Consider the following 14,834-nt stretch of genomic DNA (forward strand, 5'->3'; position numbering starts at 1 on the left):
AAGCACTACCCTGAACTAATGTTAATCATAATTCACTGAGCATGATTAACTGTGAGACTGGAGAAATTGTAATAAGTGTCAGTGAAAAGACAAAGCACAAATCCTTTCTTACTCACATTTTACTAAACATTTCCTTAGTAGTGAAGAAGAAAGGTTTATGATTTTAACCAAAATTCAGTGTGGGGGATAAAAAGGCAGAGAAAGAAAGAACAACTCTGGCATGGCCCTGTTTTAAGATTTTTTTCCCATAACAACTTGAAGTAGTAGCATGGTCTCTAGAATATTTCCTTCCGCCCCTCTCCTTCAATCCCGAAAAGACTGTTTTGTCTCTAATAACCCTGTTTTATCCCCTCCCCATAGTTTCCTTGTGAAGTATTTGCTTACTTCTGGGTCCTTTACTTCTACCTGAGCGATGGTATCCCCCATTTTAATATATCCCTGGCTTTCTTCTGGTGTTACAGAATAGGAGCAATCTCCTGGATTCTCTTGGCTCTGGCTGTACCTGACCTAGACGTATGCTGTCCTCTGTCACCTGCCACCATGTGATTCCTATGCTGTTAAGAGTGGCAGCAGTTACGTTGAAACCTCCCAATTTTATTTATTTATTTATTCATTTATTTATTTATTTATTTTGAGGCGGGGTTTTGTTCTTGTTGCCCAGGCTGGAGTGCAATGGCGCGATCTCAGCTCACTGCAACCTCCGCCTCCCGAGTTCAAGCGATTCTCCTGCCTCATCCTCCCAAGTAGCTGGGATTACAGGTGCGCACCACCACACCCGGCTAATTTTTGCATTTTTAGTAGAGACGGGGTTTCACTATGTTGGCCAGAGGTCTTGAACTCCTGACCTCAGATGATCTGCCCGCCTCAGCCTCACAAAGTGTTGGGATTACAGGCATGAGCCACCGCGCCCAGCTAGGAACCTCCCAATTTAAAAGATGAGAGAGAAGGGTGATAACTATCAGTCTCTCATTCCAAGAGTCCCTGGGGGTAAAGATCAGTGGCTTTTATTAACTCAGGGGTAATCTTTGCCATTTATAGTCACCTGGAGCAATTGTATTTTCCACATTCTTTTATAGTAACATTTTGTGCTTGTTTTTTTTTAATTTGGAGCCTTTGAATACATTGAATTTTACTTCTACATTCATGGTGTGCTTGTTCTTTTAAAAAGTAGATAAACATAGTTATACATTCACACTTGAGTTAAAATTTCAAGCTGAGAGCTAAATTCATTTATGTATTCTAAAAGCACATCTCAAAAAGGGAGAAGGAAAATAAAGTATTCATTGCATAAATACACAAAATTAGATCACGTCTAAAAATTCTAAGCCATGGTTTGAACTAACTGCACATGATAGATGTGTTGCGGATATAATTTCTAAGATTAAATTCGAAATCCTTAACTCTATATGTATGCTGTAGTATGTCATAACAAAGTAGATTTTAGATTAATTTTTCAATATGATGATGTAGTTTGCATTTCTATGTTGCTAGCCGTAAACTGTTTTGAATGTAACAATAGTGCTATTTATCACAATCTGTTTTGTTTTCTAAAATATATATAGGGATGTGTTTAGAACTAAAATTGAAGTGAAAAACATATGTGTCTTGCTTCCTGGCATATTTATAATAATAAAATATTCAGGGGCCCTGTGCAGTGGTTCACACCTGTAATCCCAGCACTTTGGGAGGCCGAGGCAGGAGGATCACTTGAGCCCAGGAATTTGACACCAGCCAGGGCAATGTAGGGAGACCCTGCCTCTTCCCCCTCCCCGCCTACAAAAATTAGAAAATTAGCCAGGCATGGTGACACCACAACTGTTATCCCAGCTACTCAGAAGACTGAGGTGGGAGGATTGCTTGAGTCCAGGAAGTCGAGGCTGCGGTGAGCCTTGATCACACCACTGCACTACAGCCTAGGTGGCAAAGTGAGACTCTCTCCAAAAAGAAAGAAAGAAAGAAAGAAATATTCAGGGGTAATGAGATTGAGTCTTATTTTTCCCCTAAAGCTATCAGCTTGGTAAACTATAATACAGGGATATTATTTGGCCTATAAAGATATTAACCAGTTAATTGGTTTTAATAGCATTTCTCCATATCAGTACTTCTGAAACTATTGAACTCATATCAATGTGGCAGAATTAAGCTAAAGCAAATTTTATATTCATTTCACACCCCAATCTTATCCCAATAAAATAAGTTTTGTAAGACTATAAGTGTATTGGTTCTGCTTGTCATTAAAATTTAGGGGAAAAAAATCCCATGGGGTACTGTTCTATTGAAAGAACAGCAGTTAATTTTTTTTTTTTTTTTTTTACCAAAAATCTTTTTATAGTGCTCAACATGAGTGTGTTTTAGTTGGTCTTAAAATTTGAGACTCTAAACTTTGATTAATAACTATATTTGTTGTTCAAAGGTATTAAAAGCTAGGTATTACTGTAAGTAAAACTAAAAGGAAAAAATAACATGCAAAATTCATCTTCTACATGTGTGTATTGTACATAAGTAGATTAACAATATGTTTTCATATAAGCTTTTCATACATACAAAAATATCTTGCTATGTACCTTTGGAAGAAGTGAAAGATACTAATTGATGGCAGTAATGATGGCAGTGTTTGATTTGGGTCTTCATCTTTGCACTATTTGGCAATATTTTTTCCTAATCTTCTCTCAAGTGTCATCCTCTTGGTTTCACATCTTAAAGAACATTATTTGTTTACTTTTTATTTCCTGCTCATTAGAAGCATCCCCAGACATCCAGTTCAGGAGATCCTTGTCAAGATGGTATATTCATTTCAGGACAGCAGAACTACTCATCAGCCACACTTAGTCACAAAGATGTTCCTCCAGACAGCTTGATGAAAGTGGGTGCTCGGGAAAACAAAATGTAGTATCTGTGAGCTTTCTATATTTTGCAGCTTTTGGACTAGATATTATATGTGCTTTAGATGAAAATACTTTTTTGAGGGCTTTCCCCCCTTTATTAGTAAGGATTTTTAAAATATCAGAAATACAAAATAGAATTTGACCCTGTCTACTATTTCTCAGTTCATTTCATGATTTTTCTACCCTGGAGAATTATTTTATTTTTGCATTTAGATTTCTGTTATATAGTACCACCTATTTATTTTTTCATTTGAATCAAGGCCTTTTTGGTATTCCTGATAGTAAAACTATTTGGAGAATTGAAAATGAACTTGTGTTAAACTCTTCATTCTAGGATCTTTTACTATTACTAAAGTCAAATGTAATTACTTCAAATGATAATTAGAAATCATCTTGAAAGACTTTTGTATATGGTAGAATAGATGATGGTTGTGTTTTTAGTACTTTTGTTGCAATTATCTATGTATGGCCAGTGCCAGACAGATAATTTTTTACTATCCTCCCTCAACTATTTTTTCTTATTTTCTTAACTGATTCCATGCCTCTAGTATGACCAGATATAATTATGAAGCATAGTTATTTATTACATAAAACTTCTATGTTGCTCTTCAGAGTAGCTACCTGGTCATCTAATATATAAGTTCATAAGTCATCTAATACTTAAGTTCATCTAATATATAAGTTCTTAAGTTTCTATTATTTTACCCTCTTTTAATTGAGCTTTGTCATCCAGTTTTTTCTCATTACATATATTTTGTGGCTTAGGGTTACTGAGTTTAATACTTTCTAATTTCCTGAGCCATCTGCTAATTGTAGCTTAATATATTCCATGTGTATGTTTAACACTGATGTAGGCAAGACCAAATATTTGGTGTCAGGGAGTCTTAAGGTCAGTAGTAATTGTCACCTGGATTTTACCCAGGAGAAAGATACTGAATTTGCATGTAGGAATAAATGGTATAAACGTAGAGAAAATCATGGGCTATCTGCAGAATTGTATGTAAGTAATAAAGCAACAGCAGAACCAGTTAATTACTCATGGGCAAATCAGTTGCATTAAATCTACAGTGATCAAGTAATAAACAGGTTTTTTTCCTCCAGAAATGTAGGGCTAATATAGCCCTTCATTTTCCTTCTCTCCAACCAATATAAGATTTGTCAGTAACATCCTTGTGTCCTATCACAGAATACCCATGTGTGTTCCTAGACTTCAGAATTTAACTAAGTTCTCAAGTATAACACAGTTTAACAGTGAAATAGAATGCCTTTTTTAAAAATACAAATCTATACCAAAGCTAAACTACTTTATATCTTTCAGCAAGGTTCACCAAGAAAAGCATGCAGTTCTGAAAGTGTTGCCATATCTTTCTGCAAACTTTTCTATTTGGGTTAATTTAGGGAACTGGACCTCAACTATTTCCCTCATAGTTTTCCCATAATTTCCTTGTCTATGAGATTTTCTGTCTGTTAATAACCAACAAGGAAATTATAAGTTAATAGCTGAACCATATTTTTCTACACAAAAATCTTTTTATATGCAAATATTTGTAATATGACTGTAACCTCTTTTTTGTTGTTGTTTAGAGATGGAGTCTCGCTCTGTCACCCAGGCTAGGGTGCAGTGGCATGCTCATAGCTCACTGCAGCCTCAAACTACTGGGCTCAAATGATCCTCCTACTTGAGCCTCCCAAGGAGCTGGGACTACAGGTGTGCACCACCATGCCCAGCTAATTTTTTTTTTTTTTTTTTTTTTTTTTTAGAGATGGGGTCTTGCTGTTTTGCCCAGGCTGATCTTGAACTCCTGGCCTGAAGCAATCCTCCTGTATAGGCCTCCCAAAATGCTGGGATTATAGGCATGAGCTACTGCACCCTGCCTCTTGTTTTTAAGATAGATTCCTCATGCTAACAGAATAAGCTATTAGCCACATTTCTACAAAGGTGATTTTAAGTCAGGTTTATTCTCTAAAAATGAGAGGCATTAAAACAAAGATAGTTCTCTAACAACAACAAACTAATAATTTAAATTTTTTTGCTGTTTACTTTATGAATAGGGTAGAATGTCAACATTTAATTTTTATGGCTAATAGTCTATGGAATTAATAATAAGAGATTATAAACGTTGCTAACATACACACAAGGAATAAATCAGTTTTCTACATAGATAGCTGAATTGACTTGTTAATTTTGGAAAAGAAGGAATAAAAGCAGAAAAATAAATTTGGAAAGAATTTTACCACAAAATTAGTTTTTTTCTGAAGAAAAACGTCAGCAAATGTACCTTTTGTGTATGTGTGTTTGATTTAGTATGGGAAAAGATATGCATCTCATAGACTGGCTTAAATTTTAAAATTTTGGTATACTATGTGCCATTTTAACATTTGGTTATTATAAGATAGATACATCTAAGAAAATACAAGTGTAGCTCACAAAAAAGCAAGTAATTTAAAATGTAGATATGATGTACTTCCATTTGAAAGCTTAAAAAAGTGAGTGTAACAACAAGCACTCAGGAAACTTTAGAATTAAGACATTAATAGCTTATTTCTTTTAAGTTTTAAAATTATAGAAAAATAGTAAGTGGCATGGTATTGTTTGACTTAATTAGAATGTGAAAACTCTAGTGCTTTTGTAATGCTCCAAGAAGAAATCCAAATATTTGAAATAAGACATTATTATTGGTCATTTTAAGATACTTCATGTTTTTCTTAGATGCCTTTGAGTAATGGACAGATGGGCCAGCCTCTCAGGCCTCAGGCAAATTATAGTCAAATACATCACCCCCCTCAGGCATCTGTGGCAAGGCATCCCTCTAGAGAACAACTAATTGATTACTTGATGCTGAAAGTGGCCCACCAGCCTCCATATACACAGCCCCATTGTTCTCCTAGACAAGGCCATGAACTGGCAAAACAAGAGGTAAGAATAATCAAGACTATTTGAAATATGGGACTAAGCTTTTTATGTATTTTTATAGGTTACTTAATTATTAGTAAATCCATACAGAATATTAACGTAGTTATTACCATTTAAAGTTTTATTTTTATGTTACGTTTATAAGGCGTTAAACTTGGTAATTTTTATTTGACTTTGTGATCATGTAACATAGGATTTAGTATTTTGGGCATGATTTATTTATTCTGATACAGTTTCTTTACCAAAACTGGTTGATACTACAGTAGTCAGACATTCCTTAAGAATATAAATAGGAGACCATTAAGCTGAAATTGTTCTGTGACACTTAAAATCTTAATTCCTTAGATTTTGAAATTTGACTACAGACTTCAAACTACTTTGAGTATTTAATCTTAAAAAGTACTTTAAAAGTCAGCGAGCTACACATTCTTATATCTTGATAGTTATTAATAAAATGATAATATTAGAAAGGTAGAGATCAAATGCTTTATTCATTTTGGTTGTGTCTCTGGTGAAAGGGAGTGTTTTATAACACAGTTTTAATTCTTGCATCTTTTTTTTTAGCTTGGTTATAAAAACTCTCAATTGGTCATGTTTTAAAATCCCAACTCCTTTGAAGCCTTTAAACAGATTTGATAAATAAAGAGTTAGTATCATAAAACCACCAGTGGATCTTTTAGATATCTTATGTAACAAGCCACTAAACAGAGATACTGTGTAATTTAGATGTCCCACAAGTGGAAACTGATAATAATATACATGTTTTGTGTTTATGTACTATGTCATATAAAATCTGTGACGTCTAAAAAGTAAAACAGGGTCAATATTAATTGATTCCTTATCCTCATAAGACAAGCAATAAAATTAGGAGCTATGCTTTATATAATCCCAGCTCTGCCTTTAACTCACTAACTCATTAACATAATATTCTATGTTGTATTTCACTTCATCTGACCAAATATTTATTTTTGATGAATTCTTATGTTTATGTTTGCTTGGACTTAACCAATCAGTATTTAAATATGGATGTTGTTGCATTATAACTTTTTCTGAAATAGTAAGTTTCCTTTATTTTCATATTAACTCAGATTCGAGTGAGGGTTGAAAAGGATCCAGAACTTGGATTTAGCATATCAGGTGGTGTCGGGGGTAGAGGAAACCCATTCAGACCTGATGATGATGTAAGTTTTCTTTGTATATTCTTGAAACACCTATAAAGTTTTATTTACCGATTGAATACTTAAATGTAAGTGAAAATCTAATAGATGTTTATGTAAATCTAGGTAGACATCACCTGGATTCCCCACTCTATTGCTTACCTTTTTGTTTTGTAATTTGATCAGTTCAAGTTAAAACAATTTAACCAAAAACTATGAATGTTTATGATATAATGAAATGATTTTTAACTTTCTTATTGCTTTTTCACACACCTATAAAAGTAATTTTATTACTCTCAAGAGAAATCACTAAAGTCAGAATTACTAGAGGTAAAAATAACTAGTTTGTTACAGTATTACTCAGAGAAGTCAGGGAGAAAACTTGTACCATGATTCAAATATTTGCATGGTGTGGAGGAAAAATTGCTCCTTGGTACTCTGTTATTTATACATACTGTTTTTAGTTAAATAATTTTTTTTGTTGTTAAAGGGTATATTTGTAACAAGGGTACAACCTGAAGGACCAGCATCAAAATTACTGCAGCCAGGTGATAAAATTATTCAGGTAATTAAAATAAATCTTTTTTTTTTTCATTTTATAACACTCTAATGTTTTCACAGTTTAAAATGTTTTCACTTTAACTTTGAAAATTGTGGGTGGGAGGCTGAGGCAGGAGAATGGCGTGAACCCGGGAGGCGGCACTTGCAGCGAGCCGAGATCGCGCCACTGTACTCCAGCCTGGGCGACAGAGCGAGACTCTGTCTCAAAAAAAAAAAAAAAAAAAGTTTGATACATCATAGGATTTTGTTTAAGCTCAGGAATGTTAATTTTTACTAATTTGAGGGGGATTAGAGTACCACTTCTTGGATGTGGGCTATTGTCCTTTCAGAAATGGAGAAGAAAAATTTTAAATCTGCGAAACTCATTTTTTCCTGTCCCCTCCTTTTCTTTGTTCATTCAGCTACTCATTTTACCTAAACACTTACAGTCTTAGAAGGAAGACAAACCTAGGACACAAGTATAGCTCTCATTTTCTACCCCTACTGTCACCGTTCTTAGCTGAGAACTAAAGAACTTAAAAAATAATCCTCAAACCAAAAAAAAAGGGAGAGAGAGACATTAATGTCTAATAGCTGAAAGTACAGATTCTGAAAGCCAGACTGCCTGAGTTTAAATTCTGGTCCCAACACTTTCTAAAAATAAAACTAATTAAAAAAAATTTTTTTTGAATAATTTTAAGCTTAGAAAAAAGCCACAAAAATACTACAACAAACACCAGTATTACATCAATTGGTCACCAGTCGTTCATAATTTGCTACATTGTCTTTATCATTTATTCTCCTCTTTCTTCTCTTTTTCTCCCTCCCTCCCTCTACACACACACACACACACACACACACACACACACATACACACACACACACAGTCACACTCACTCATACAGTTATACACATTTATTTTTCTGAACCATTTGGGTTTCAATTTGTGACTGAGCAAGTTACTTTGCCTCTCCATGCCTGGGCTTTCTCTTCTCTAAAATAAGATAGTGAAAGAATCTTTTTTGAGCATTATGAGAATCAAAGGATCTAATTCATATTACACCCTTAGAATTGTGTGTTTGGTACACAGTAGAACCTCAGTAAATATTAAGCTTAATTGTAAGAAATATGGTGGTCTTGATGTGATGGCTCCAAGACAATGGGAAGAGTAGCCCTTGCCCCCTGCTACGCTACAGTTTGGTCACCTCAGATACACATTAGCATTATACGACACCATGTCTGACATTATTTCTTAAGTAAGTGATTTCTAACATTGGGCTGCTACATAAGAATTGGCTGAGAAGTTGGACAAAATACACATTTTTAGACCCCATCTTCAGAGACTTTATTCCTTGGTTTGGGTAGGGCCTGTGAATCTGTATGTTATTTTAAGTTGCCAAAGTGATTCTTATTTTCTTCCAAGTTTGTGAACTACTTGGCAGAAATGCAAATAAATAACTATAAAATGTTTTTCCTAAAAGCATTTTTCCTCTTCTAGGCTAATGGCTACAGTTTTATAAATATTGAACATGGACAAGCAGTGTCCTTGCTAAAAACTTTCCAGAATACAGTTGAACTCATCATTGTACGAGAAGTTTCCTCATAAGCACTGTGGACAAAAAAAGCGGGGAAGACAGCAAGATTTATTGGAAGATACTTACAGGGGAAATTAATATTTTGACTATTTTTATATATAAAGAAGAACTCAAAAAATTATGTTCAAATTTGTACATTAATGAAATAATGGAACTTGTGGTTAGAGGGAAAGAACCACTGTACAGAATATAAAGGAGACTGTTGAATTCATACCATATAAAACTTGTTAGGTTTTTAAACATAGCAATCAAGGCTACAAAAACAAACCTGTGTTGTTTTTGTATAGATTGTAGGTTTATTTTTGGATTTCATATACATGACTGAACTGTGTGCAAGGCAATAGTTAGCCTTGATTTTAGCCCAGAGACAGATGGCAGAGCTATCTCTCTCATAGCTTTTATGCCCTTATTTTTATTCAACTGGTATTAATGTTTTTCTCCTGAAACTACTTTTTTTGATGTGGGCAAGAGATTTGAAGTGTTGGCTTTTGCTATGTGCATATTGAATTGAAGAGTGAGTAGGTGAAGGTGGTGCTGGTGGGTTCACTTTCCAAGGCCAGACTAAAACAGTTATTTTCTATAAAAATCTGGAAGCAAAGAATGGGGATGGGGAGAGCTACGTGGTAGTATGTTTTTATTAGGAGAATAATGCAATAAAATATGTAATGTCTTTTTTATAAAGCAAAAAAGACAATAATTGCATTTATGAGCTCGGCAGGATCTGTTCTTGTCATAGCCATTGACTATACATTTGCTACTGGTGATTCAGTTTTTAATTTTTTAGTCACAGGAAATTTTTAACTCTACTGTAGATGCATGTCCATGCATTTTCTGTGTTATGGAAATCCACTGATTTTTTTTTTTTTTTCAAATGGTGGTACTTGCAATCTGTTTTATAATTAGTGCTCCATTTAAATCTAATTTATAATTTTTATTTTAAGCAGCAAATGAAACAAAAATGGCCAGTTTTAAGATTGTGTTGCCTGTAACACAAAATGTTACGAAGGTTTAGGAAAGCCTCTTTGATTTTTGTTTGGCCTTGCATTGCCTTGGTAAAGTAAAAGGAAACAGTACACTTGGAGCTAGGAAACCAAAGCAAGCTTTGTGAAACTGGCACAGTGATAGAGAATTGCTGTGGAGAGTTATAGAGCAAAGGGATGGGTCCTTGAGGCCTGCCAGTGTGTAAAGGTGTTCAAATAAAGGGCTGTTTCTACAGGTAACATTAAATGTGAACTCAACACTTCCAGAGTCTTTAAAGGGTTTCTATGTGTATCAGTGTAATAGTGTTTTACCACCAACTGCCTTTCTTTGTTCCTAGTTACTGTAACAAATATTTGATGATAGAGGTTTATTAATTTTGTTTATCCAGACCATTAATTTTATTTGTTTTTGTTCTATGTAATCAAATAAAATTTGAGTAACATGTAATGGTAAGGATTAATGCATGGTTATTTGGACCAGAAAAAAGTGCCATAGAAGACCAATAACTGTTTAGTTGAGGCTAGTCTGGAACCTTTCATTAGAGCAATATTTGGTTATTGCACTTCATTTTTATTTACTAAGAAATGCAATTTGGGAATTTTTAATCTGTTATGCTTTGTTTATCAACCTTGATTTTAATTAAGACTTTTATAAGACTAGCTTAAAACACCAACCAACATTATTTTTGCAAAAGTGAGTTGGACTCACTTTCCATTCTTGCTAGTCAGAGTAAGTAGGCAGCACTTTTAAAAATATGTGAACTCAAATATTGCACTTCTTTCAAGATGTTATCAATTGGTTATTGTACTGTATAGTTTTAATAATTTTGATTGAAACCCTTTAACAACTCTTTGTAAATTTTAACTCATTTTAGTTGATTTTCAGTACTATTTACATAGGAATTGATTTTTATGGATATAGTAGAAGAAATGTGCTGTATTTTGATAAAATTCACTTATTGTATGTGTGTTGTAATCTAAAAAAAAAAAGAATGACAAACAGCTTCTTTAAGACAAGTCTCGGTGTTCCCTTTATTCTTAGTTTGTTTTTAAATATTAATTTTGGCATTCTAAAATAGCTAACATTTCTTTTATTGATTTCAGATTTTCACAGGCACATTCTACTTTTAATCAGAAATATATTTAATAAGTATAATTGTGAAGTTTTCAACTACTTTACCTTGAACCACATATACCAATTATAATTTTGGAAAAGGAATTAAGCCTCACGGAACAATGGATCTTCAGCAAACCTTAACTTCATTGTCTGCACATTACATTGAAGTATTATAAATGCAACAGATGTTATATGCACTGGCATTTTATCCTACTCTAGTTAGTTAAAATTTTATAGTATTCTTGCAACACATAAAGTTGCGTAAGAAACTTTACCAAGAGGAGTATTATAGCCAAGTTTTCTTTGAAAGTATTGGAAAACTAAAATTAAATGACAAGGACTTTGAATTAGAATTTTGCTGTAATAAAGTTTCAAAATTTGAATAAAATAATTAAATTTTTTGAGGAAGTGGAGAAGACATTTTTAGTTTATATATTGTTGAGTAAATTGTAGTTAAGGCCTATACCCATAACTAACTTTAGTAAGTATTATATAGCAATTCATCAAAACCACAACTGTCTTTTAGTGATTTTGTCTTTAAGAGTAATTTCTTACTCTAACCAGTAAAAAAATAATACTGATCAGAGTAATTTATACGGCATACAATAGTTGATACAATCTAAAGATTTATGCTAATTAAGGAATTATCACTTCATCTGAATCAATGAAATTCTAAAATTCCCTACATATTTATTTTGTAAATATTCTTCTGACCTCTTTGGACTGGATATGAAGATATATATATATACACTTAATTCTTTTAAACACAAAACTTGCCATAAGCAGAACCAAACTTTTAAGTATTAATTTGCTGCACTTAAAAAATCCCATTAGCAGCTATGTAATATTTTTATCAACCAACATTTATTCATTCCAAATTTTTGTATATATCTAGATGAAGTAACACATAGAGGATAGATAACAAACTAATGATGTTTAAACTGGTTTATTTACAAAATTCGGGGTTAGAGAAATTCTCATGAAAAATATACAATTTTTTTTTAGCATTAAAACCCTGTATATCTAGGTGTGGAAGAAGTGTAGTTTATCTCAAATTATTATTATTTACTTCTAAAGGGAGGCATTAAGATGGGAAATGTTTCTCTGATGGAGATTGACGTGTGAAATCTATTTGGAAGGGTATTTTTTTCACTCAGTCTGTTGCATTCTTACAGCCTTCTGTTTTAATGTTCAGTGAATAGGTTTCTTATGAAATGGACATTGAAATAAAAATTATGATTCAAGAGCATTAATTGATGAACAAGTGAACAAGATGCCTCTTTAAAAAAAAAAAAGAAAAAGTAATCTAGACAGGCAGCCAACTCAGACCTTTGGGTATTCCTTTGTTTCTAAATAAGGACCTTCAGAAAAAGTTGACCATATTCTACCTAAAGCTGCTAATTCTTTACAGAATTCATAAGCCCAGGGGATAGTAAGTAGTCATTTAGTTTTGGAAAGTTCTTAAGAGAATGCTATCTTCTACAGTCTCATGAAGCAGTTTTTCAAGATTAGAATCTGTGGTCAGCTATAACGTACAGTCCTAATATCCAACCACCTGAGAAGCTCATCCTAAGCTGAGAAAGCCTAAAATGTTAGAGAATGTTTAGAGAAAACACCTGAAATTTTTTTTAAGAGAACAACCTAGGTTTTATTGTAGAGAACAATCAAAATACTCCTGAACCTTTCTATAGAATCTTTAGGAGAGAGGCTGACAAAAAGAATCCTTCTGTTACAACTTTCTTTTCTAATGTAACAACCAGGGACAATGGTGATCTGTCACGCATCTGCCCATCTAGCTTCTCAATCGGCCCACGGTTTTATTTCAGGATAAAATTTGAGAAACTAGTATCACTGGGGAAGGAAGAAACCTAAGCTGTAAAATTATGCTTTTCCCCTCAAGGGATTCAATAAAGCTTATTTTTCATGAAAACAAGCCTATAAATACTGACTTTCCTTAAACCTAATCAAATTGTGTTCCTCCAAGGTATAGCTTTAGAAGGATCTTCTTTCAGTTGCTCTTTCAAACTTTTCCTTGTTAGAAAAGAAAAACTAATACAAATTGTTAAAAAATTAAAGCATGAGCAGAGAGCATGGATTTTAGATGATTTTAAGTTTCCTCATCTTCATGAAAAGAAGAACCTAATACTCTGAGAAGTAATGCCTGTCCAGAATGCACACTAAACATCTCATATTTGGATCATCCTTCACTGCAGCATCCCTCAAAGGAACATTCATTCTCCCAAGAACAAGAGGAATTGTTTGCAGATAAATTATTCAAGGTAGCAAAATGGAGCATGCTTCAATCTCCTCATCCTGTCCACATACCTACAAAGGACAGAAAAGATTATTAATACTATGATAGGCAAGAGTGTTATGTAATAATAATATTACCAGTTTTGTAAAAAAAAAAAGGGAGTACACTGGATCCATAATTTTTTTTTTTTTTTTTTTTTTTTTGAGACGGAGTCTGGCTCTGTCGCCCAGGCTGGAGTGCAGTGGTGCAATCTTGGCTCACTGCAAGCTCCGCCTCCCGGGTTCATGCCATTCTCCTGCCTCAGCCTCCGGAGTAGCTGGGACTACAGGCGCCCGCCACTATGCCCAGCTAAATTTTTGTATTTTTAGTAGAGACGAGGTTTCACTGTGTTAGCCAGGATGGTCTCGATCTCCTGACCTCGTGATCCACCCGCCTCGGCCTCCCAAAGTGCTGGGATTACAGGCTTGAGCCACTGCGCCCGGCCCATAATTTTTGAGAAATTCTTTAAAGGCTAGTGCCAGAGAATTCTACCATGAGATGTGTATTTTGCTTCAGATGCCTCAGAAGACAATATAAAGGACCAAGAATGATGGTGATACTGCATCATAAGGAATTGATTTAGTTCAACCACCTTTTATATGCCAAGCTGTGTGCAGAAAGGACATCTGGTTCAAAGCAGGAGCAATGAGTGCGGATACCTAGATTAAGAAGGAAAACCAGTATAGCCCTTTTGAGCTAGCATGATCTGACCATTGGCATGTTCCTTTTGCCCACCGTGAGTGCAGATAGTGACACCATGAGAATCACCAAACAGAAGTACCAGTGTCTAAAGAAATCAATATGTAAAATGATATCTTCTGAGGGATAAAGGATATTGAGTTTAGAAAACAAGCTGTTAATGAAAGGATTTAGATGTCTTTATAATGTAAAATAGAACTGTCAAAAGTAAATTCAACAGCTGGGCTGGAGAGTAGTAAGGAGACATCCAAGGGCAAATTAAAAAGCTCTTTGGGTTTAGATTGCATAGAAAGTAATGCAAATGAACTAAGAAATAATGTGAAAAGAGACATGGAAGAGAAGTCCTCATGTTCCAACGTGAATCCTTCAAAGGAAACAATGAAGGGGAAAAAATAAGCTTTCCTAGAGCTGAAGCACAGCATAGGTTCTCAGACTGAATGAGTCCATTTAGTACCAAGCAAAACTATAAACATACACTTCTAGATACATCTTCATGAAATTTTAGAGTAGGTGTAAACATCACTGGCGAGGCATGGTGGCTCACACCTGTAATCCCACATTTTGGGAGGCCAAAGTGGACTGATCGCTTGAGTCCAGGAGTTCAAGACCAGCTTGGGCAACAGGGTGAAACCCTGTTTCTAGAAAAAATACAAA

At 34.2% G+C, this 14,834-nt stretch overlaps 1 protein-coding gene across 17 annotated transcripts in view; it reads left to right on the forward strand.

Annotated features, from left to right (window-relative positions):
* Positions 1–13,118, forward strand: part of ERBIN (erbb2 interacting protein) — a 155,972-nt gene extending 142,854 nt beyond the window's left edge. For 7 of the 17 annotated variants that reach the window (XM_047417378.1, XM_047417382.1, XM_047417379.1 and 4 more), the window contains 4 exons: positions 5,596–5,802; positions 6,888–6,980; positions 7,447–7,521; positions 8,995–13,118. In XM_047417378.1, the coding sequence (XP_047273334.1) occupies positions 5,596–5,802; positions 6,888–6,980; positions 7,447–7,521; positions 8,995–9,102 (483 nt within the window). In that variant the 3' untranslated portion in view covers positions 9,103–13,118. Of the gene's footprint in view, positions 1–2,740; positions 2,864–5,595; positions 5,803–6,887; positions 6,981–7,446; positions 7,522–8,994 lie in introns of all 17 variants that reach the window. The other 10 variants (XM_047417376.1, XM_047417380.1, XM_047417377.1 and 7 more) reach the window with 3 other exon arrangements.

The sequence above is a fragment of the Homo sapiens genome, chromosome 5, assembly GCF_000001405.40.
Source record: "Homo sapiens chromosome 5, GRCh38.p14 Primary Assembly".
Taxonomy (NCBI): Eukaryota; Metazoa; Chordata; class Mammalia; order Primates; family Hominidae; genus Homo; species Homo sapiens.